Genomic DNA, 21,600 nt, shown 5'->3' with positions numbered 1-21,600 from the left:
TTACAGGCGTGAGCCACCATGCCCAGCTCAGAAAGCATTATTTGAGATAAAAAGGGAGTATTTTGGTTCAACAGAAGATATGACAATTCTGAATGCATATACCTAATAAAATAGATAAAGAGCTGGGCACAGTGGCCTGTGCCTCTGTAGTCCCTGCTACGTGGTAGGCTGAGGCAAGATCACTTGAGCCCAGGAGTTTGAGGCTATGCTGTGTTATGATCACATATGTGAATGGTCACTGCACTCTAGCCCAGGCAACATAACAAGACCCTGTCTCTAAATAAATAAATAAATAAAACTGATAGAACTAGAGTATACTTTTTACATATATATGACTTGAACAATTAAATCAACAAAGATGAATTTTAAAAAGCAAGCCTTAAAAAGAAATACAATTGAAGTAGGTGAACCTAATTATATTTTAAATTGGTCATATGTATAACCCACAGAGAAAAAAATGATATAAGTACTTTTAGAAATAGTAGACTCGGCTGGGCACAGTGGCTCACACCTGCAATCCCAGCACTTTGGGAGGCCAAGGCTGGTGGATCACCTGAGGTCGGGAGTTCGAGACCATCCTGGCCAGCATGGTGAAACCTCGTCTCTACTAAAAATACAAAATTAGCCGGGTGTGGTGGTGCACATCTGTAATCCCAGCTATTAGGGAGGCTGATGCAGGAGAATTGCTTGAACGCAAGAGGCAGAGGTTGCAGTGAACCGAGATTGCGCCATTGCACTCCATCCTGGGTGACAAAAACAGCCAAAATTTGTGAGATTTGTTGTCAGTAGTAGAACTGGCTTAGTATTAGTAATTCTTAGATGATTTTGTGTATTGTAAAATAGAGCTAACGTATAAGACAGCTGGTGTTAGGAGGCAGGGTTCCCTCGTTATGGGAGAAGGGAGTTGCATGGGATGGAGTAAGGAGATGAAGAATCCTGTGGGGTTGGATTTGCTTTGGAGGAATTGATTTTTTATTTTGAAATAATTGCAGATTTTTCAAAAAAATTGCAAAATTAGTAGAGTTCCTATAACCTTCACCAAGTTTCCTCAAATGTTAACATCTTAACGTAAAGACAGAACAATGATCAAAACCAGGGTTTTATGTTGGTGTAGACTAAGAGCTAATTAGACCTTATTCATATTATACCACTTGTCCCACAAATGTCTGTTTTCTGCTCCAGGGTCCAATCTAGAATCACAAATTCCATTCAGTTGTGATGTCTTCTTAGTTTCCTTCAGTCTAGGACACTTAGGTCCTCATTCTCTCTGTCTTTCATGGCCTAAATGTTTTTAAAGAGTGCTGTCCAGTTACTTTGCAGAATGTCCCTCCATTTTGGTTTCTCTGATATTTCCTTGTGAGTCAAATTCAGGTTTTGCATTTTTGGCAAGAAAAACATAGAAGTAGTTTGTGCTCTTCTCAGTCTGTCAGATTGGGAGGTACATGACGTTGATAAATCTCATTGCTGGTGATACTAACTTGCATCGCTTTGTTAAGGTGGCGTCTCATGTTTCCACTGTGAAGTTACTATTTTTTCATTTGTAATGAGTAAATATCCAGTTTCTTGTCCTTTTTAAAAAAAAATTTTTTTTAAATTTTTTTTCATTTTTGAGGTTTTTGTTCGAAATAGTTTTTTTTTTTTTTTTTTGAGACGGAGTCTTGCTCTGTCACCCAGGCGGGAGTGCAGTGGCACAATCTCAGCTCACTGCAAGCTCCACCTCCCGGGTTCACGCCATTCTCCTGCCTCAGCCTCCCGAGTTGCTGGGACTACAGGCGGCCGCCACCATGCCCGGCTAATTTTTTGTATTTTCAGTAATGGCGGGGTTTCACCATGTTAGCCAGGATGGTCTTGATCTCCTAACCTCGTGATCCGCCCGCCTCGGCCTCCCAAAGTGCTGGGATTACAGGTGAGGCGTGAGCCACTGCGCCTGGCCCAAAATAGTTTTTTATATCCCCAAATAAGTAGCTAATATGTTTAATTCAGTATTCTTTTTTTTCTTTTTTTTTGAGATGGAGTCTCACTCTGTTACCCAGGCTGAAGTGCAGTGGTGTGATCTCAGCTCACTGCATCCCGCCTCCTGGCTTCAAGCGATTCTCCTGCCTCAGCCTCCCAAGCAGCTGGGATTATGGCATGTGCCACCATGCCTGGCTAATGTTTGTATTTTTAATCGAGATGGGGATTTGCCATTTTGGCTAGGCTGGTCTTGAACTCCTGACCTCAGGTTATCCTCCTGCCTTGGCCCCACAAAGTGCCTAAATTACAGGCGCGAGCCACTGCGCCCAGCCTAATTCAGTATTCTTTTCCTTCCCGGTTGTGGTTTTGGGGAGAATTTTCTTTTTCTTTTCTTTCTTTCTTTTTTTTTTTTTTTGAAACAGGGTCTTGTTCTGTCGCCCAGGCTGACGTTCAGTGGCGCAATCCCAGCTCACTGCAGCCTCAAACTCCCAGGCTGAGAATTTTCATTAGTATGTTGGATCTCCATTTTCTTTTTTTTTTTGTAATCTTTACATATGGATTTATTAATTTTATTTCTATTTCTGAGGTAATGAGATGGTTTACACAATTACAAGTTCAGTGACACCCTTTTCTGCAAGTGTAGTGAAGTCCAGAGTTTGTTCCACTTTTGAGGGTCTTGCAGGACCCTAAATTTTCTCCCCTTTTGGTTCTACCTACAGTATGCAGTTATAAAAGGGTACTTCTCCCTTCTTCTCTTGTCCCTCAGAAGCTTTGAGTTTCAAGTACTGCCAGTTCAAACCCCATGGACCATTAATACCCTGTGCTGTATGCTGTATTCTGATTTTTGTCAGGGTGCTGCATTAGTGTTTTCACACTTGAGCTCGTCTTACCCTTCTCCTGGTAGATTTGGAGCTGGCTGAGGCTCCTGAGCTCTCTTTTTTTGAGACGGAGTCTTGCTCTGTTGCCCCAGCCTGGAGTGCAGTGGCTGCAACCTCCGCCTCCCGGGTTCAAGCAATTCTCCTGCCTCAGCCTCCCAAGTAGCTGGGTTTACAGGCGCCCCACCATGCCTGACTAATTTTTGTATTTTTAGTAGAAACAGGGTTTCACCATGTTGGGCAGGCTGGTCTCGAACTTCTGATCTCAGGTGAACCACCCGCCTCGGCCTCCCAAAGTGCTGGGATTACAGACGTGAGCTACTGCGCCCATGTGGTGTTTTTAATTTTGGTGATTCAGACGGGTGTGTAGTAGTATGTCATTGTGGTTTTAATTTACTTTTCTAGAATGGCTAACAATGTTGAGCATCTTTTCACAGACTTACTGGCAATGTACATATCCCCTTCATGTATCTTCCATTTTTAGTTGGATTGTTTGTCCTCTTATTTTTCCTTATTTTTCAGTTCTTTATATATTCTGGAGACAAGTTATTTATTATATTTATATATTGAAAATATTTACTCCTAATCTGTGGAATGCCTTTTAATTTTCCTAACAGTATCTTTTGAAGAGCAAAAGTTTTGATTTTGATGGCATCCCATCAAAATGCTTTTTGTATCCTAAGAAGCATTTACCTAACCCACGGTCACAGTTTTCTCCTATTTTTTTTTTTCTAAATTTTATGGTTTAATTTTTGTGTTTATGTTGATGACCATTTCAATTTTATTTTTATATATGACATATGTAAGGATTAAGGGTTTTTTTTTTTTTTTTTGCTTTTTTAAAGGTAGAAGTCAGACGCAGTGGTTCATACTTGTAATCTCAGCACTTTAGGAGGCCAAAACAGGAAGATCACTTCAGGCCAGGAGTTTGAGAGCAGTCTGGGCAACATAGCAAGACGCTGTCTCTACAGAAAAGTAAAAAAAAAAATTAGCTGAGCATGGTGGCACACACCTAGAGTCCCAGTGACATGGGAGGCTGAGGCAGGAGGATTTCTTGAGCCCAAGTGTTCAAGGCTGCAGTGAGCTGTGATCATACCACTGCATTCCAGTCTGGGAGATAGAACAAGACCCAATCTCTAAAAAAATAAATCAAAAACAATGTAAAAATAGGTGCTCAGTTTTAGTGTTACTTGTTAAAAAAAATGTAGCCTTTCTCATTGAATAACCTTGCCATTCAATAACTTGGCATATTTGTCGGAATATCAGTTGATCTTGATTGCAGGTCTGCTTTTAAACACCGTTTTCTTTATCTGTATAGCTGCCTTCCACCAATACCACAGTCTCTTATTGTTGTTTTATAAAAAATACTGAAATTGGATAGTCAGCCTTTCAGTTTTGTTCTTTGTAAAAAGTTTCTTTTTATTGTCATCAGTTTTAGAATCAACTTGTCAACATTTATAAAAATGCCTGCTGGTTTTTTTTTTTTTTTTTGCTTTTTTTTTTTTTTTTTTTGAGACAAAGTCTCACTCTTGTTGCCCAGGCTGGAGTGCAATGGCGCAATCTTGGCTCACAGCAATCTCCACCTCCCAGGTTCAAGCGATTCTCCTGCCTCAGCCTCCCAAGTAGCTGGGATTACAGGCGCCTGCCACGACGCCTGGCTAATTTTTGTATTTTTAGTAGAGATGGGGTTTCACCATGTTGGCCAGGCTGGTCTCAAACGCCTGACCTCAGGTGATCCGCCCGTCTCGGCCTCCCAAAGTGCTGGGATTACAGGCGTGAGCCACCACACCTGGCCTTTTTTTTTTTTTTTTTTTTTGAGATGGATTCTTGCTCTGTCACCCAGGCTGGAGTGCAGTGGTGTGATCTCGGCTCACTGCAAGCTCCGCCTCCTGGGTTCACGTCATTCTCCTGCCTCGGCCTCCCGAGTAGCTGGGACTACAGATGCCTGCCACCATGCCCGGCTAATTTTTTGTATTTTTAGTAGAGACGGGGTTTCACCGTGTTGGCCAGGATGTTCTCGATCTCCTGACCTCATGATCCACCTGCCTTGGCCTCCCAGAGTGCTGGGATTACAGGCGTGAGCCACTGTGCCTGGCGGCCATCTGCTGGTATTTTTACTAGGATTGCTTTGACTCTAAAGATTAATTTGGGGACAGCTGACATTTTAACAATATTAAGTCTTAGGCCTTGAACTTAGTACATTTCTTCATTTGTTCAGGCTGTCTTCAGTTTCTCTCAGCAGTGGTTTGTATTTTTCAGAGTATAGGGCTAGATTCGGCAGTTGGTACTGAACTTTATTCCAGTGCTTTCTCTGTTTTCCTAGTCCCATGTAGTTTACAACCGTCTTTCCCCACTTGTTTGAAATGCGTAGAAGTTGCAAAATTCTTGTATGTACAATCACATGTCACTTAATGATGGGGATACATTCTCAGAAATGTGTCAGGCGATTTCATCATCATGCCAACATCATGAGAAGTAAGAGTGTACTTAGAGGAACCTAGGCGGTGTAGCCTACCACACACCTAGTCTGCCAACCTGTACAGCATGTTACCGTATTGAATACTGTAGGTAATTGTAACATGGGGAAGTATTTGTGTATCTAAACATAGAAAAGATACAGTAAAAATATATTATAATCTTATGGGACCACTGTTGTATATATCCGGTCCATCACTGACCACAACATCATTATGCGGTGTATAACTACTTGGATCTGTTTCCGAATTTTCTTCGGGGGTTTTGAAAGTTGGAAACAAATGAGAGAAATTTAGTTAAAAACCAGAATAGGCCAGGCACAGTGGCTCACCCCTGTAATCCCAGCACTTTGGGAGGCTGAGGCGGGCGGATCACGAGGTCAGGAGATCGAGACCATCCTGGCTAACACAGTGAAACCCCATCTCTACTAAAAATACAAAAAAATTAGCCGGGCGTGGTGGCGGGCGCCTCCAGCTATTTGGGAGGCTAAGGCAGGAGAATGGCGAGAACCTGGGAGGCTGAGCTTGCAGTGACCCGAGATCGCGCCACTGCACTCCAGCCTGGGCAACACAGCGAGACTCCATCTCAAAAAAAAAAAAAAAAAAAAAAGCAGAATAAACCTAAAGGAAAGAAAATTTATTAGCTACTTTTCAATATTATAGTTTTGTCTATTTTGGCCTTATAGCAGTTTTGAAGAAAACTATATTCTATAATTGATATTTTTAATATTTGAAGTTTTTGATTGGATTAGATTACCATTTTAAAGTATATGCAGAGTCCTTTAGTGCTGTGTATTTTTGAACTTAATACAAGGATTTAATTTCTTTTAAGTTAATCTTATTTAAAATAATTCTATTAGAGTTATATGAATTCCGACTTCTTCTTGTTTCATAGTTTATCTGGAAGAATGTGAACTGGCTAAACAGCTTTATCCAAAGGAAAACGATTTGGTGTTTTTAGCTCCTGAGAGAATAAATGAAGAGAAGAAAGATACAGAGAGAAATGACATACAAGATCTCCACGAATATCATTCTGGTTATGTTCATAAATTTCGCCGCACGTCAGTCAGTAAGTAAATAATGAGGCATTGACAGGAAATGTCAGATACAGTCTCATCTAATAATCTACTTCTCAATTGTGTATATCAAGTGTATTTGATAGACATTTACCGAACATGTTTTTGCTATGTTGATTACATGGCCATTCAGAGTCTCTTTTCTAGTTTTTCTAGACTTAACTGGAAAAGACCTTGTATTTATTTTTGTAATGTTCTATCCTTTTGTTACATTTCTTTATCCATCATTGTGTTTGCTATAAAATGGACCATTTGCAGACCATCTGTTGTTTGTTAAATTACATTTCATCCTTGGTTTTGTGGCCAATTACTAATGAGATGACCAAACATAAAACTCACTGTAAGGCAGCTTGAGGAATCTGCTTACATCACTTCCATCCGTTGTATGTTTCTCCCTAGGTAATTTAATAACAAAAATATTAGCCTAAATTTAATGAATACCAGATGTATGCAGTGAGACTTGTCCCTTTTTTTTTTTTTTTTTTTTTTTTTGAGACGGAGTTTCACTCTTGTTGTCCAGGCTAGAGTGCAGTGGTGCTGTATCGGCTCACTGCACTCTCCGCCTCTTGGGTTCAAGCGATTCTCCTGCCTCAGCTTCCCAAGTAGCTGGGATTATAGGCATCCGCCACCAGTCCCGGCTAATTTTTTGTGTTTTTAGTGGAGACGGGGTTTCACCATGTTGACTAGGCTGGTCTCGAACTCCTCACCCCCATCAACCTCCCAAAGTGCTGGGATTACAGGCGTGAGCCACCGCGCCCAGCCGAGACTTGTCCTTCTTATGTACATTTATAATCTTCCCCAAAGCCCCAAAAGGTAGAAGAAATTATTCCTTGCTCCCCAGGAAATCATGGTTCAGGGATGTTAAGTAAACCTATTTTCAAGGCTGTCATCAGTGTTAATTGGTAAGTCCAGAATTGAAGCCTGCTTTTGTTGACTGCAAAGTCCACATTGTTTTTCTTATGCCAAACTGCCTTTTTGGCAATTGCAACTTTTTTAGTCTTAGTTATGTGAAGAGAAGAACATTATTTCATTATTCCTTCTCCTTTTTGCATGATATATTAATATAGCAATAAAGTGTGTCAACATTGTACTGCATTATAACAGGTGTACCATGTTTATTTGTGTGATCAGGGCTTAATTCTGTAGAATATAGGATACATTTAGAAGAGTTGCAGTGAGGATTGATGGCTTACTCTGTGCTTTTGGCTCTTGAAAATGATTACCTTTGCCAAATTTATAGTTCTAAGGCAGTCTCATTCCCTGAACTCCTCATAGATCAAAATCATGTCTTGGATACCTCCATTTGGAAATGTGTTAGACATTTCAAATCCACTAGTCCAAAAGTTAACACTTGATTTTCTGCCTGACATCTGCACTTCCTTCATTCTTTCCCATCTTGTTAATTGGGGCCTCACTTCTTTCAGTTACTCAGGCCAAAAACCTTGGAGTTATCCATGATCCTTACTTTCTCTCACACCTCACTTCTAATTTGTCAGCAGATATGATTGATTTTTCCTTTGCAATATATCCCAAATCCAGTTCCCACGTCTACTAGTGCCTCCTGGTCCAAGCTGTCATTAACTTTTACCTAAATTACTATGGTAACCTTGTAAGTGGTCTTTTTGTTTCTGTACTTTTCTCATTGTAGTTATTCTTTGTTCTGAGGTAAGAGTGGTTCTTTTAGTTTGTGAGATAGAGCATGTTATTTCCCTACACAGAGTGCCCAATGGTTTTCTACCCTGATCCTGAATAGCGTTCAGAGTCATTACTGTGATCTGCACAGCCCTATAAAATGTAGCCCCGTTTTACTCTGAGTCGCTAAGCGTTCTTCTCCCTATTTTTCCTTCTATCCATGTTAGCCTTCTCCCTATTTCTAAAATATTCCTGGCACATCTCTGTCTTACGATCTTTGCAGTTGCTTATTTTCTGCATGTAGTACTATTTACCCTCTGCTGAGTACTGTTTACTCCCTTACTTCAAGTCTCTGCTCAAATATTTCATCAGGAAGACCTTCTCGGACCAGCTTATCTGCCTCCATCCCCATCACTTCCTCCCTTTGTGTGCTTTCTTCAGAGCACTTACTACCACCTGACATATTTATTTGGTTATCTGCCTCCATCTTCTAGAAAATAAGCCTCCGGAGGACAGAACATTACTGGGTTCAGGAAGCAGTCCATAAATATTTACTGGGTAAATTATGTAAATAATATCCAAAAATATGTTAAAAATACCTAATTCTGCATGACCTTTACAACTAGGCAGCATTATTCAGTGATAACTGAAGTTGCTTTTTCTCTTTCTTGATGATAGTGCGTAATGGGAAAACTGAGTGTTACCTTTCCATCCAGACTCAAGAGAACTTTCCGGCCAATTTAAACGAACTTGTGAATTGTATTGTAATCAGTTCTCTGGTAACTACACAAAGGAAGTTGAAAGCCATGTCTCTGTTGGGTAGTCGGAACCAACTGGCTAGAGCTGTTCTGAATCCAAACCCTATGGACTTCTGTACAAAAGATTTACTGACTACAACATCTGAGAGAATTGTGAGTGATGATGTATGATACTAGATAATTTCATGTTAAGATGTTAAAGCATCATATTTTTTAGCTGCTATGTATTCCTATATGTTTACAACAAAAATGTGTTCACGGTGAACAGTTTAGTGTTAGTTTTCTTTAGTATTGCAAAGTATGTAATTTAGGTTAAGTCAGCTCACTTCAGGAAAAGGTACAGTACAATAAGCGTCGAAGGTTGCTGGAAGAGCAACATTAAAATGTTAGGTCAGCAGCCTACTTAATGTGCATTAGGTGAGAAGTCTCAGGTTTAGTGGTGTTAAATTTACATTTGAATGATTGATGGAGAATTGGCCGGTATTGTTGGAAATGCAAAGATGAAGTTGTCAACTGAACATGTGAAGCTGTGTATAAACTCTAGGAAGTTAACAGAGAAATGCAAAAGGAAACTAACTATTTAGAAACTCTAGAGCTGTATGCTATGGCTTTCATGTGCATTATCTCAGTCTGTTCTCACCTCTTAAGGAATCCTAGATTTAATGAGTAACAGAGGCCAAGGCTTGGGTTAGGAGCGTAGTGGCCTAGCTTGTAAGTGCAAGTGAAGCTTACACCCAGATCTTCCCCTGGCATACATGCTTTTTCCACTGTATCACATGTGCTAGGAAATAAATAGTCTTGGGATGTTTTCACTAAGGAGAAAATTGACTAAAGAAGGAAAAAAACAGAGTAGTAAATAGAAGAAAAGTTGTGGATTAGTAAATGCAATTTATTGTGATTATCTTTGTAAGAATAAAAAATAAAAGTACAGTTGTATTTGTAAGTACTTGAAGCGTTACAGACACTAATTAGTAATTAGTAAGTAATTAGCTTTCTTTCCAGTAGTGAACGTGCTTTTTAGATTAAAGGTCACTTTGGTGTCCTTGTCTTGTCTGACCATAACCAAAGCTTTTGTCTCATGCATTGAAAGAAATTTGGACAGGTCTTTTTCATGTTCTTCCTTTCAAATTCCACTACAGAAACAGCAACTCATTCTCAAAAATGTGTTTTTTATATAGATTGCGTACTTAAGAGATTTCAATGAAGATCAAAAGAAAGCAATAGAAACTGCATATGCTATGGTGAAACACTCACCATCAGTTGCCAAAATCTGCTTGATTCATGGACCACCTGGAACAGGAAAATCAAAAACTATTGTTGGCCTCCTCTATCGTCTACTGACAGAGGTAGGTATGGGTGAGGGCACTGATGCTGTTAACTAGCTGTATCATTTTACTTTACTTGAGTTAACTGACATGTAAATAAGTATTAACATGCCATTTCCTCTTTGATTTGTATATATTTTTTATATTGTGTGTAACTGTGTCAGAGAAAAGGGTGGCAGAGGGAGGGAAGGTTATGGGAAATAAAAAGAGGAAAAAACCACTATCTTATGTGAAACAAATCGTAAGGACTAGAATGATGGTCTTCAGGCTTCACGGTAGGTCACGTAGAATGCTGTGAATGCTGGGCTGCATTTTGGTTGGATTGTGGTTTTTTGTTTTTTTTTTTTGAGACAGTGTCTCGCTGTCATCCAGGTTAGGGTACAGTGGCACGATCTTGACTCACAGCAACCTCTGCCTCCCAGGTCAAGTGATTCTCCTGCCTCAGCCTCCCGAGTACCTCCCTAGTGGCTGGGATTACAGGCGTACACCACCACCCACAGCTAATTTTTGTATTTTTAGTAGAGATGGGGTTTCGCCATGTTGGCCAGGCTGGTCTCGAGCTCCTGACCTCAAGTGATCCGCCCGCCTCGGCCTCCCGAAGTGCTGGGATTACAGGCGTGAGCCACTGTGCCTGGCTTGGATTGAGTATTCATTAAAGTAAGTGGATGATAAAGTAAGGCTCAGAGCAGTTATGACAAATTTTTTTGCTGGAGTAATTTTAAATATCAGTGTTAGATGTAGATGCTTTTATTTATTTTTAACTTTATTACGAGAACTTTCAAAAATACATGGAAGTAAAGACAAACTTTAAAGCTATGTAATAGAGCTCACCCATATTTTTTGTGTGTTTGTTTGGTATGTATATGTGGCAAATTGTAGAACCAGAGGAAGGGGCATTCAGACGAAAACTCCAATGCCAAAATCAAACAAAACCGTGTCCTCGTGTGTGCACCTTCCAATGCAGCTGTTGATGAACTCATGAAAAAAATTATCCTTGAATTCAAAGAAAAATGTAAAGACAAGAAGAATCCTTTAGGTATGATACTTTTGTGGATTTTAAATTTGTTTTTGTTTTCAGTGTTAAGTGTAGGCAACTTTGAATGACAAAGGAAAGAGCAGGCCAGTCCTGGTAATAGCTTCTACTTGAATCTGTGGCTTGTGAGTTCATTTAGCAAGTATTTCATTGAACATTTACCCTGTGCCAGGGCCTGTGCCAGGTACTGAGGTTTCATCAGTGAAGTCTTCAAGGAGACACACGGCCTAGTGAGGAAGTGGAGAGGTCAGTACAGAGTGATAAGTTCCACAGTGAGGCTAAAATGTGGGGTGTTCCACACACCTTAGGGGGACCCTGATTCAGTTGTGTGAGGGTTAGAGAAGGGCAGTTAGGAGTTAGCCACAGGCAGTAGAGGGTTAGGGAGTACTTGAGCAGCAGAGATTGCCATAAAAAAAAAGAATCAGGGCAAGAGAGCCTCAGATGGTTCTTGAGGTTCCCAGAGCATTAGGTGGCGGTGAAAGATGAGGCTTTGAGTAAGCACAAGCTTATTGAAAACAGTGAAAACAGTCATTGTTTACAGTCACTGAGTGTTGACTGTGTGTCAGTAATTCTCAAAATAATCCCATGAACTTGGTGTTAACCCTACCATCTGTATTTTATAGGTGGGGAAACTGAAGCTTAGAAATGTTAAATACACTAGAGGGATAACTTTTTTCGGTAGAATGTAGATAATAATGAGCATTACAACGGATGATTCAGGGCACTAAAGTGAAGATGTGAAATTATTTCATTTTATTTAACCTTAACACTTATTTTTCATATCACTTGTGTTGAGTGGTATAGTTATGGCTTTGTATTTGATGACCTTTCCAAGCTCATATGTCTTGTCTTCCCTACCAAATTTAGTTTTCCTTAAGGATACCTAACAGTGCCTTTTAACAGGATTTGATTTAGCAGACTCCAAATACAGTGGCTTTTAAATATAACAGAAGTTTACTTCTTTTTTTTAAAAATCAAAAACCCAGAGGTGGGCAGTTCAGAACTGGTACCAGAGTCACTGGTATGGCTACTCTGCCTTAGAGAGTCCTTGGAGACCCAGCCTCCATCTGGTTGCTTCACCATGTGTGGCCTCCATTCTCGAGTGCACCTGCGGTCAGGATAGCTGCTCCAGCTCCAGCAAGTGTGAGGAAAAGATGAAGAAGGGGCAGAGGGAACATACTAGCTATGTTACAAGGAAAGTTTCTAGGTCCTGCCAATAGCGCCTCTGCTTATTTCCTTTCGGCCACACCGAGGTATAAGAGAGGCTGGAACATGTCATCTTTATTCTGAGGAATCACACACATTTTCCTTTGTATCACATATGTATTACCTACACGTAGAATTCATTTGCTCTTAAAACATACAATACATTGTCAGTCTCTGATTTACTTTTTTCCACTTGCCTTTACATTTGTGAGATTGATTTTGTGAATAGCTGCAGTCACTCATATTAACTGCTATAGGGTGTTTCATTGAAGGTGTGCAACATTTATTCATTGATAATTTAGTTTCTTTTCAATTTTTTATTTCAAACTTGAGCATTACAAAACTTTATTAAAACATGGGTATCTAGCATATGTATATCTAGAATTGAAAATGTGGGGGTTCAAGAGTTTGTACATCTTCAGTTTTCTAGGTAGTGCCAAATTCTTCTTGAAAGTGATTGTACCAGTTAGCTCCTGAGAGCAGTCCCTGTGCAGTGTACAGTTGGTAGTTTTAATTTAACTTTCCCTGGTGGCGTGAGCTTAAGCTGCTTTTCAGGTGTATGTTGACTGCACAGCCGGGCCAGGACTAAGGTGAGGCAAACGAGGTGTCTAGGTTGGATATTTATTTATTTATTTATTTATTTTTGAGACGGAGTCTCACCCTGTCGCCCAGGCTGGAGTGCAGTGGCGCGATCTCGGCTCACTGCAAGCTCCGCCTCTCAGGTTCACGCCATTCTCCTGCCTCAGCCTCCCGAGTAGCTGGGACTATAGGCGCCCGCCACAACACCCGGCTAATTTTTTGTATTTTTTTAGTAGAGACGGGGTTTCACCGTGTTAGCCAGGATGGTCTCGATCTCCTGACCTCGTGATCTGCCTGCCTCGGCCTCCCAAAGTGCTGGGGTTACAGGCATGAGCCACCACGTCCAGCCTTATTTTTTTTTTAATTAGCAGGCTGGGCACAGTGGCGCACGCTTATAATCCCAGCACTTTGGGAGGCCAAGGTGGATGGATCACCTGAGGTCAGGAGTTTGAGACCAGCCTGACCAACATGGTGAAACTCTGTCCCTACTAAAAATACAAATTAGCTGCACGTCGTGGCACGGGTCTGTAATCTCAGCTTCTCGGGAGGCTGAGGCGGGAGAATCACTTGAACCCGGGAAGTGGAGGTTGCAGTGAGCCGAGATCGCGCCCTTGAACTCCAGCCTGGGCAACAAGAGTGAAACTGCCTCTAAATAAATAAATAAATAAGAGAGCAAATGATATCCTCTCTGAGTACAGAGACCTTTTTTTCTTTTTCAGTACTTTCATTTTCACTATTTCCTGTGGTCCTGGGTCTCCTTTAAGGAAATGACTTGAACGTCTCTCCATTAAGTATAATGCTTCTGGGTTTTGTGTATACCCGTTACCAGGTTAAAGAGTTGCTTTCTCATTAGTGTTTTTGTTATGAATGGGTGTTGAATTTTATTGCATGCTTCAAATGGTAATGAAAATTTTCTTTAATCTGTTAATATGGTAAATTATAGTATTTTTCTGATGTTAAAATATCTTTGATTCTTAGGGAATAAGGACACCTTGGTGTCTTGTATTAGTTTTTAATACACTGCTAGATTGCTAATGTTTTATTTAGGACTTTGAAATTAATGTTCATAAATGAGGCCAGCCTGTAATTTTTGTTACACTGTATTTGTCTAGTTTTAGTATTGAAGTTACACAGGCTTTAAAAAATGAGTTGGGGCCAGGTGCGGTGGCTGACGCCTGTAATTCCAGCACTTTGGGAGGCAGAGGCGGGCAGATCACCAGGTCAGGAGATCGAAACCATCCTGGCTAACACGGTGAAACCCAGTCTCTACTGAAAACACAAAAAATTAGCCAGGTGTGGTGGCGGGTGCCTGTAGTACTGTAGTCCTAGCTACTCGGGAGGCTGAGGCAGGAGAATGGGGTGAACCCGGGAGGCGGAGCTTGCAGTGAGCTGAGATCGCGCCACTGCACTCCAGCCTGGGTGACAGAGCGAGACTCTTGTCTCAAAAAAAAAAAAAAAAAAAAATGAGTTGGGAACTTTTTTGTTATTCTTTGGAATGTTTTGTATAAGACAGCTTGTCTATTTCTTGAAGGCTAATTTGTTATTAGTATTGTATTTGTTGTCTTTATTTGTTGTCTTTTTTTTAACAGAATAAGTAAATTTCTATTTGCTGTTTAAATGTCATTAATGATTATAAGTCTAATCATGTTTTCTTTTTTTTTTTTTTTTTTTTTTGTACCCCAGCTCAGGCTGGGGTACATTGGCATGATCATGGCTCAGTGCAGCCTTGCCCTCCTGGGCTCAAGTGATCTTCCTGCCTCAGCCTCCCAAGTAGCTGGATCTGCAGGTTTGCCATCACACTGGGTTAATTTTTAAATTTTTGTTGTAGAGACAGGGTCTCCTCGTGTTGCCCAGGCTGGCTTCAAGCAATGCTCTTGCCTCAGCCTCCCAAGGTGCTGGGATTACAGGCATGAGACACTGCCCCTGACCACGTTTGCTGTATTATATATTTATTCCCTAAATGCACATGTGACACAGGCTTAGGGGTAGGAAAGTATAAGGAGAAAATTTATTTTTTGTAAGCCAGAAAAAATAAATTATTTTAAAATTATTTTATCTAAATCAGTAATTAATAGATGGAATTAAATTTAATTAAATCACTTGATTAATAGTTTATATTTTAATTAAAATCATTTTTCCTGGCCCAGCTGAGCCTAAGCCAAGATAATTACACTTGTTTTTAATTCTTCCACCTCTTTCAGGCCCCTCTACTTTCTTGTGGGCATTAGCAAGCTCCCATTGTAGAAATTTATATGTTTTTATTGGAATGGTAGCTTTAGCAATGTCAAACTCAATAGAATTTTAAAGTCTGTTCATTTTACTGAATGTAAATTATACCTCAAGAATGTTAAAGAACAAAACAGACACCCAGGCACCTAGACACTGCCCAGCCTTGCTCCCTTACGGGTGCCACAACAGCTCAGGGGCTTTCAAATCTGGTTTTCAGCTCTCTCTCTGTTTTTGGCCTCTAGGGATTTCTCTTAACATTCCCCTGAGCTTACCCAGCAGTGTAAAGGATATCTGTTATAATTTGCGGAACATTTCTGGGTGCTTATAGTAGGTGGGTTTCCAGGTAATCTCATCTACCTTTCTAGTGGAAACGTAAGTGAATTAAGAAATTTTCAGGCCGGGCGAGGTGGCTCACTCCTGTAATCCCAGCACTTTGGGAGGCCAAGGCAGGTGGATCACGAGGTCAGGAGATCAACACCATCCTGGCTAACACAGTGAAACCCCATCTCTACTAAAAATACAAAAAATTAGCTGGGCGTGGTGGGGGGCGCCTGTAGTCGCAGCTATTCGGAAGGCTGAGGCAGGAGAATGGCGTGAACCCGGGAGGCGGAGCTTGCAGAGAGCCGAGATTGCGCCATTGCACTCCAGCCTAGGAGACAGAGCAAGACTCCGTCTCAAAAAAAAAAAAAAAAAAAAAAAAAGGTTTTCAAACCCTCAAGTAAATGTTGACCTTAAATTTAGGAAAATGAGCTGAACTGGGATAAAAAATATGCTGTAGATAACTAAAAATAAGCCATTCATTTTTCATATAATCATTGTATTTATTATGTGCCCACCACTCTTCTAGGTGGTGATCAAAACCCTATTCTTTTGGGGCTTAACATTTAAAGGATGGAGATAGACAGTAAACAAATAACTGTGACGTGTCCAATTAGAATAAATGCTGACAAACTCTACATGATTGCATAATTTAGCCCAGTGATATAGTGGGGAATATTTATTTATTTATTTATTTATTTATGAAACTGGTCTTGCCTCCCCTGCTCAAGCAATACCCCCATCTCTGCCTTCCAAGTAGCTGGGACCACAGGGGGAGGCCACCACGCCTGGCTAATTTTTGTCAATTTTGATAGAGGTGGAGTTTCATCATGTTGCCCAGGCTGGTCTCAGACTCCTGGATTCAAGCGATCTGCCTACCTTGGCCTCCCAAAGTGCTAGGATTACAGCCCTGAGCCGCTGCACCTGGCTGTAGTGGTGAATTTTTTTTTTTTTTTTTTTTTTTTTTTGAGACGGAGTCTCGCTCTGTCTCCCAGGCCAGAGTACAGTGGCGCGATTTCAGCTCACCGCAACCTCCACCTTCTGGGTTCAAGCAGTTCTCCTGCCTCAGCCTCCCGAGTAGCTAGGATTACAGGCATGTGCCACTACGTCCAGCTAATTTTTGTATTTTTAGTAGAGATGGCGTTTCACCATGTTGGCCAGGCTGGTCTCAAACCCCTGACCTCGTGATCCACCTGCCTTGGCCTCCCAGAGTGCTGGGATTACAGGTGTGAGCCACTGTGCCCAGCCTTGTAATGGAGAATTTTTAAATAAAATAATAACACGTGGGAAAAAAAATAAAGACGAATAAAGGTGTTTTTTTGTTTGTTTTTTTGAGACGGAGTCTTGCTCTGTCACCCAGGCTGGAGTGCAGTGGTGCAATCTTTGGCTTACTGCAACTTCCACCTCCTGGGTTCAGGCAACTTTCCAGCCTCAGCCTCCTGAGTAGCTGAGATTACAGGTGTGTGCCACCATGCCTGGCTAATTTTTTTATTTTTAGTAGAAATGGGGTTTTGCCATGTTGGCCAGGCTCGTCTCAAACTCCTTACCTCAAGTGATTTGCCCACTTATATCTCCCAAAGTGCTGGGATTATAGGCGTGAGCCATTGTGCCTGGTCAGAAAAAAGATTTTAAAAAACCCAATAGAAGAAATTATAATAAAAGAAAAAAACAAAAACATTAAAACCAAAAGGACAAGAAGAAAGCAATGTGTTAACCTGAGATTAAAATGTGGTTAGTAAACAGGCAGGTTAAATTGGTTTTTATAGTTCTTGCAATTATTATATCCAAGAATTTCTATCATCTTGTGTCCCTTAGTTTCTAGAGTATCAAGGTGATGTGGAACATAGTTTTAAAAGCTTTATTCTGAGTATTCTGCAAAAGAAGGCTCGATGGTCAAATAAGATTCTGTTCTGAAAATTACATATTAATATATAACATATAAAAGTTTTTGAAATATTCTGCAGTTAAGAGTGTTGGGGATCAGCCTCAATACCACCCGTAGGGTACCCGAAGTGCAGTGGTGACAAAGAAATGAGAAGAGACAGGTTAAGAGTTCATAAAGGAGGGAACCAGGGGGCCAGAGCAAATCAGAGGCTGCAAAGGCTCCAAGCTATGATCTCCACACTATTTATTGAAATAAATAGTGAAATGGTGAAAGGAGAGCCGTGTGTCATACACCTAATGTATAGGAATGGCGGTTTAGGTAAATTTTCTTTGTGCTGAAGCAGTATAAACTTAACTACTGATTTATTTTTTAACTTATCAGAGAGCAGCTGTGGGGAGTGGGCCTAACTAGGAGCTGGCATATCTGGCCACATTCCAGTGCTTCAAAGGAGTATCTTTCTCCTTGAGCACAGTGTTTATAGATAGGAGAGCAGGTCACATTCTGGTCATGGGAACATGATGGCAATTAGAAGGCTTTACTCCTCAGAGGCCTCTTGTGGCTTTCTACAACTTACTGTTCCATATTTTTATGGCTGGTTTATGCAGGCACCCCACAAGCCCTTTCCCCAACATGAGAGAACTGCTTCGTTTATTTTATCTCATCATTTTTCTTGAAACTATTTTGCTATGGAATGTCCTACTGAACATAGTTTGAAAATGTTACTGTAATAGAATCTCAACTCTGTAGTGTACTGTTTAGATGGCCTTGCTAACCTTTATTAGGTAGAAATGATAACTACTTGCCTTATAGGATTGTTAGGAACAATATCTGAAATAATGTATAAGAAGTTTGTGGTGTAGTCCCTGGTGTCTGGTTAATTGGAAGTTCATGTTTGCTCCCTTCTCTGATTATTAACATATTTACTTAGAAATATAGATACTATGTATAGAGACAGGATTGATCAGCAGTGTCCTTATTAGTCCTTAACTGTGATTCTTATCAACAGGAAACTGTGGAGATATAAATTTAGTACGACTGGGTCCAGAAAAGTCTATTAATAGTGAGGTTCTAAAGTTCAGTTTGGACAGCCAAGTAAACCACAGAATGAGTAAGTACTGAATGTGGTATATACTAGTGTTTTCTCTGTTTTGTTTGGTGGAAAATGACTTGGGCACTAAAGGTAATTTGAAGCCTCCAGAATTAGTCTGGCTTTGGGAACTAATTTTCCTTCTCATTGTGTTGTATATGTGTGTGAGTTTGTTAGAATTAGAATAGCATATAATTTTTTATTTGTTATTTTTATTAGAAAAAGAGTTACCTTCTCATGTTCAGGCGATGCATAAAAGAAAGGAATTTCTAGATTATCAGCTGGATGAGCTTTCCCGGCAGCGAGCTCTATGCCGAGGTGGACGGGAAATACAGGTATCTTTGCATTTCTTGAATAATAACTCAGGTATACGAACTAGTTAACAAGTTTTTTTTGAGACAGAGTCTTGCTCTGTCTTCCAGGCTGGAGTGCAGTAGCACAATCCTGACTCACTGCAGCCTCACCTTCCTGGGTTCAGGTGATCCTCCTGCCTCAGCCTCCCGAGTAGGTGGGATTACAAGGTTGTGCCGGCACACCTGGCTAATTTTCTGTATTTTTAATGGAGATGGGGTTTCACCATGTTGGCCAGGCTAGTCTCGAACTCCCGGCCTCAAGTTGATCTGCCCACCTCAGCATCCCAAAGTGCTGGGATTACAGGCATGAGCCATTGCGACCAGCCTAATTAATGAGTATTTAATGCCCTTTATTTATTGGGGAATGGCATGATTCATGTATAAAAATGTGTACTAAGACACTAAAAATGTGTCTCAGATTAACACATTTCTTTCTGCTTTTTTTTTTTTTGTCCTTTTGGTTTTAATTTTTTTTTTCATTTTTTCTTTTATTAAAATTACTTTTGTTAAAAATCTTTTTAAAAACTTTTTTGTAAAGGGCAAGATATTCTAGTAAAGATTTTAGGCTTTGCAAGCCATATGGTTGGTTTCTGTTGCAGCTATTCAACTCTGCTTTTGGTAGCACAAAGGCAGCCATAGATAATACATAAACAAATGGATGTGGCTGTGTTCCAGTAGAACTTTATTTACGAAAATAGATGGGGTGTTGCGTTTTTGTTTGTTTTTGAGATAGGGTCTCACTTTGTGGCCCAGGCTGGAGTGCAGTGGTGCAGTTGTGGTTCAATTTAGCCTCAAGCTCTTGGACTCAAGTGAGCTGTCTTTCTGCCTCAGCCTCTTGAGTAGCTGGGACTACAGCCGTGTGCCATCATGCCTGGCTAATTTTTTTGTTTGTTTTCTGTAGAAACTGGGTCTTGCCATGTTGCCCAGGGTGGTCTGAACTTCTTGCCTCAAGCAGTCCTCTCACCTTAGCCTCCCAAAGTGCCAGGATTACAGGCATGAGTCCCTGCACATGGCCTTGCATTTGGCTTATAGGCTGTACTGCCTTATATTAAAGCTATACTGAGTTTATTAGTTGCCTTTCAGTTGCATGTTGAGCCCAGTTCAAATTAGGTTAGACAGAAAGGGAATTAGCTTCAGTATGGGTGGATCCAGAGGGTCACATGATATCATTTCTCCACTCCATAATTTGTTTTTCTGTGTGTCAGCCATTTCTTCTGAGAAAGGTGAGTGTCAGCATCTCAGGGCTTCCACCATCTCAGCTTTGAAACCCCAGAGGGAGAGAAAGTCTTTCTCTTAGCATCCATATATCCAAAGAAGCAGTTAGTTTAGTCCCTGGGTGAGCAAGCAGGTCTAATCCCTATTTTTAAGAAGATGGGTGCATGATTGGCCAGGCCTGTGTTAGATGCCCATCACTGTGGCCAGAGGAATGGTTGGGGTGTGATTTACAGCCTCATTTGAATCACCTGGAAGTTAAGGGTGGCGTGATGCTCCCAGTGCTGGAATGCTAAGCAGACAGCTCACGTGCAGCGCACAGAACACAGCTGAGTCTTACGCAGCAGCATACAGAGTGTGTCAGGACTCCAGTGGTAAAGAGGAAATAAGCTGGGTAAATACATTTTTCATTGGTGAAATACAGGCTCTTTTAAAATTAGAGGTAGTCCATTGGAAGGCATTTAAAAATGCTTAGTTTAGTTTTAATTGTGACATTTGAATTTTTTTCCAGAGGCAAGAATTAGATGAAAACATTTCCAAAGTTTCTAAGGAAAGGCAGGAACTTGCTTCTAAAATTAAAGAGGTAAGTAGTTCACCTGTAGCATTTTCTTGATTTTTTTTTTTTTCTTTTTAAAATTTAAGTATGACTGTTCAGACAAGCTATGGGCTTTTATTTATTTATTTTGGAGACAGAGTCTCACTCTGTCTCTCAGGCTGGGGTGCAGTGGCATGATCTCAGCTCACTGCAACCTCAGTCTCCCATGTGGCTGGGATTACAGGCGTGCACCACCATGCCTGGCTAATTTTTTTTTTTTTTTTTTTTTGAGGTGAAGTCTTGCTCTGTCACCAGACTGGAGTATAGTGGCGTGATCTTGGCTCACTGCAACCTCTGCCTCCCGGGTTCAAGCGATTCTCCTGCCTCAGCCTCCCGAGTAGCTAGGATTACAGGCGTGTGCCACCACGCCCAGCTAATTTTTGCATTGTTAGTAGAGACGGGGTTTCACCGTGTTGGCCAGGATGGTCTGGATCTCTTGACGTCATGATCCTCCTGCCTCAGCCTCCCTCAAAGTGCTGGGATTACAGGCGTGAGGCACCACACCTGGCCTCTTTTGTGTTTTTTTTTTTTTGAGACAGAGTCTCACTCTGTTGCCAGGCTGGAGTGCAGTGGCACAATCTCAGCTCACTGCAACCTCTGCCTCCCAGGTTCAAGTGATTCTCCTGCCTCAGCCTCCCGAGTAGCTGGGACTACAGGTGTGCGCCACCACGCCCGACTAAATTTTGTATTTTTAGTAGAGATGGGGTTTCACCATGTTGGCCAGGATGGTCTCCATCTCATGACGTTGTGATCCGCCCACCTCGGCCTCCCTAAGTGCTGGGATTACAGGCGTGAGCCACCATGCCTGGCCCTTTTTTTGTATTTTTAATAGAGATGGGGTTTCACCATGTTGGCCATGCTGGTCTGGAACGTCCAACCTCAAGTCATCCCCCGTCTCGGCCTCCCAAAGTGTTGGCATTACAGGCGTGAGCCACCATGCCTGGCCAGCTATGGGCTTTTCTCAGTTACATTTTAAATTGTTATGAAAAATTACAAACATCTGTGGAAGT

General features: G+C 41.0%; 1 protein-coding gene across 11 annotated transcripts in view, besides 2 other annotated features; it reads left to right on the top strand.

Annotated features, from left to right (window-relative positions):
- Positions 1-21,600, top strand: part of SETX (senataxin) — a 95,389-nt gene that overhangs the window by 49,744 nt on the left and 24,045 nt on the right. For all 11 annotated transcript variants that reach the window (XM_005272172.4, XM_011518404.4, NM_015046.7 and 8 more), the window contains 7 exons: positions 6,198-6,371; positions 8,689-8,921; positions 9,947-10,114; positions 10,973-11,129; positions 18,350-18,451; positions 18,650-18,765; positions 20,507-20,578. In XM_005272172.4, coding sequence (XP_005272229.1) covers positions 6,198-6,371; positions 8,689-8,921; positions 9,947-10,114; positions 10,973-11,129; positions 18,350-18,451; positions 18,650-18,765; positions 20,507-20,578 — 1,022 coding nt within the window. The remainder of the gene's footprint in view (positions 1-6,197; positions 6,372-8,688; positions 8,922-9,946; positions 10,115-10,972; positions 11,130-18,349; positions 18,452-18,649; positions 18,766-20,506; positions 20,579-21,600) is intronic.
- Positions 10,165-10,665: an enhancer, noted in NCBI's record as "H3K4me1 hESC enhancer chr9:135171723-135172223 (GRCh37/hg19 assembly coordinates)". NCBI's record gives its function as "activates a minimal SCP1, AML or CMV promoter by ChIP-STARR-seq in primed H9 embryonic stem cells {active_cell/tissue: H9 hESC(primed)}" and the evidence as "EXISTENCE:reporter gene assay evidence [ECO:0000049][PMID:30033119]".
- Positions 10,666-11,166: an enhancer, noted in NCBI's record as "H3K4me1 hESC enhancer chr9:135171222-135171722 (GRCh37/hg19 assembly coordinates)". NCBI's record gives its function as "activates a minimal SCP1, AML or CMV promoter by ChIP-STARR-seq in primed H9 embryonic stem cells {active_cell/tissue: H9 hESC(primed)}" and the evidence as "EXISTENCE:reporter gene assay evidence [ECO:0000049][PMID:30033119]".

The sequence above is a fragment of the Homo sapiens genome, chromosome 9 (assembly GCF_000001405.40).
Source record: "Homo sapiens chromosome 9, GRCh38.p14 Primary Assembly".
Lineage (NCBI taxonomy): Eukaryota > Metazoa > Chordata > Mammalia > Primates > Hominidae > Homo > Homo sapiens.
This window is presented reverse-complemented; position numbering and strand designations above follow the sequence as displayed.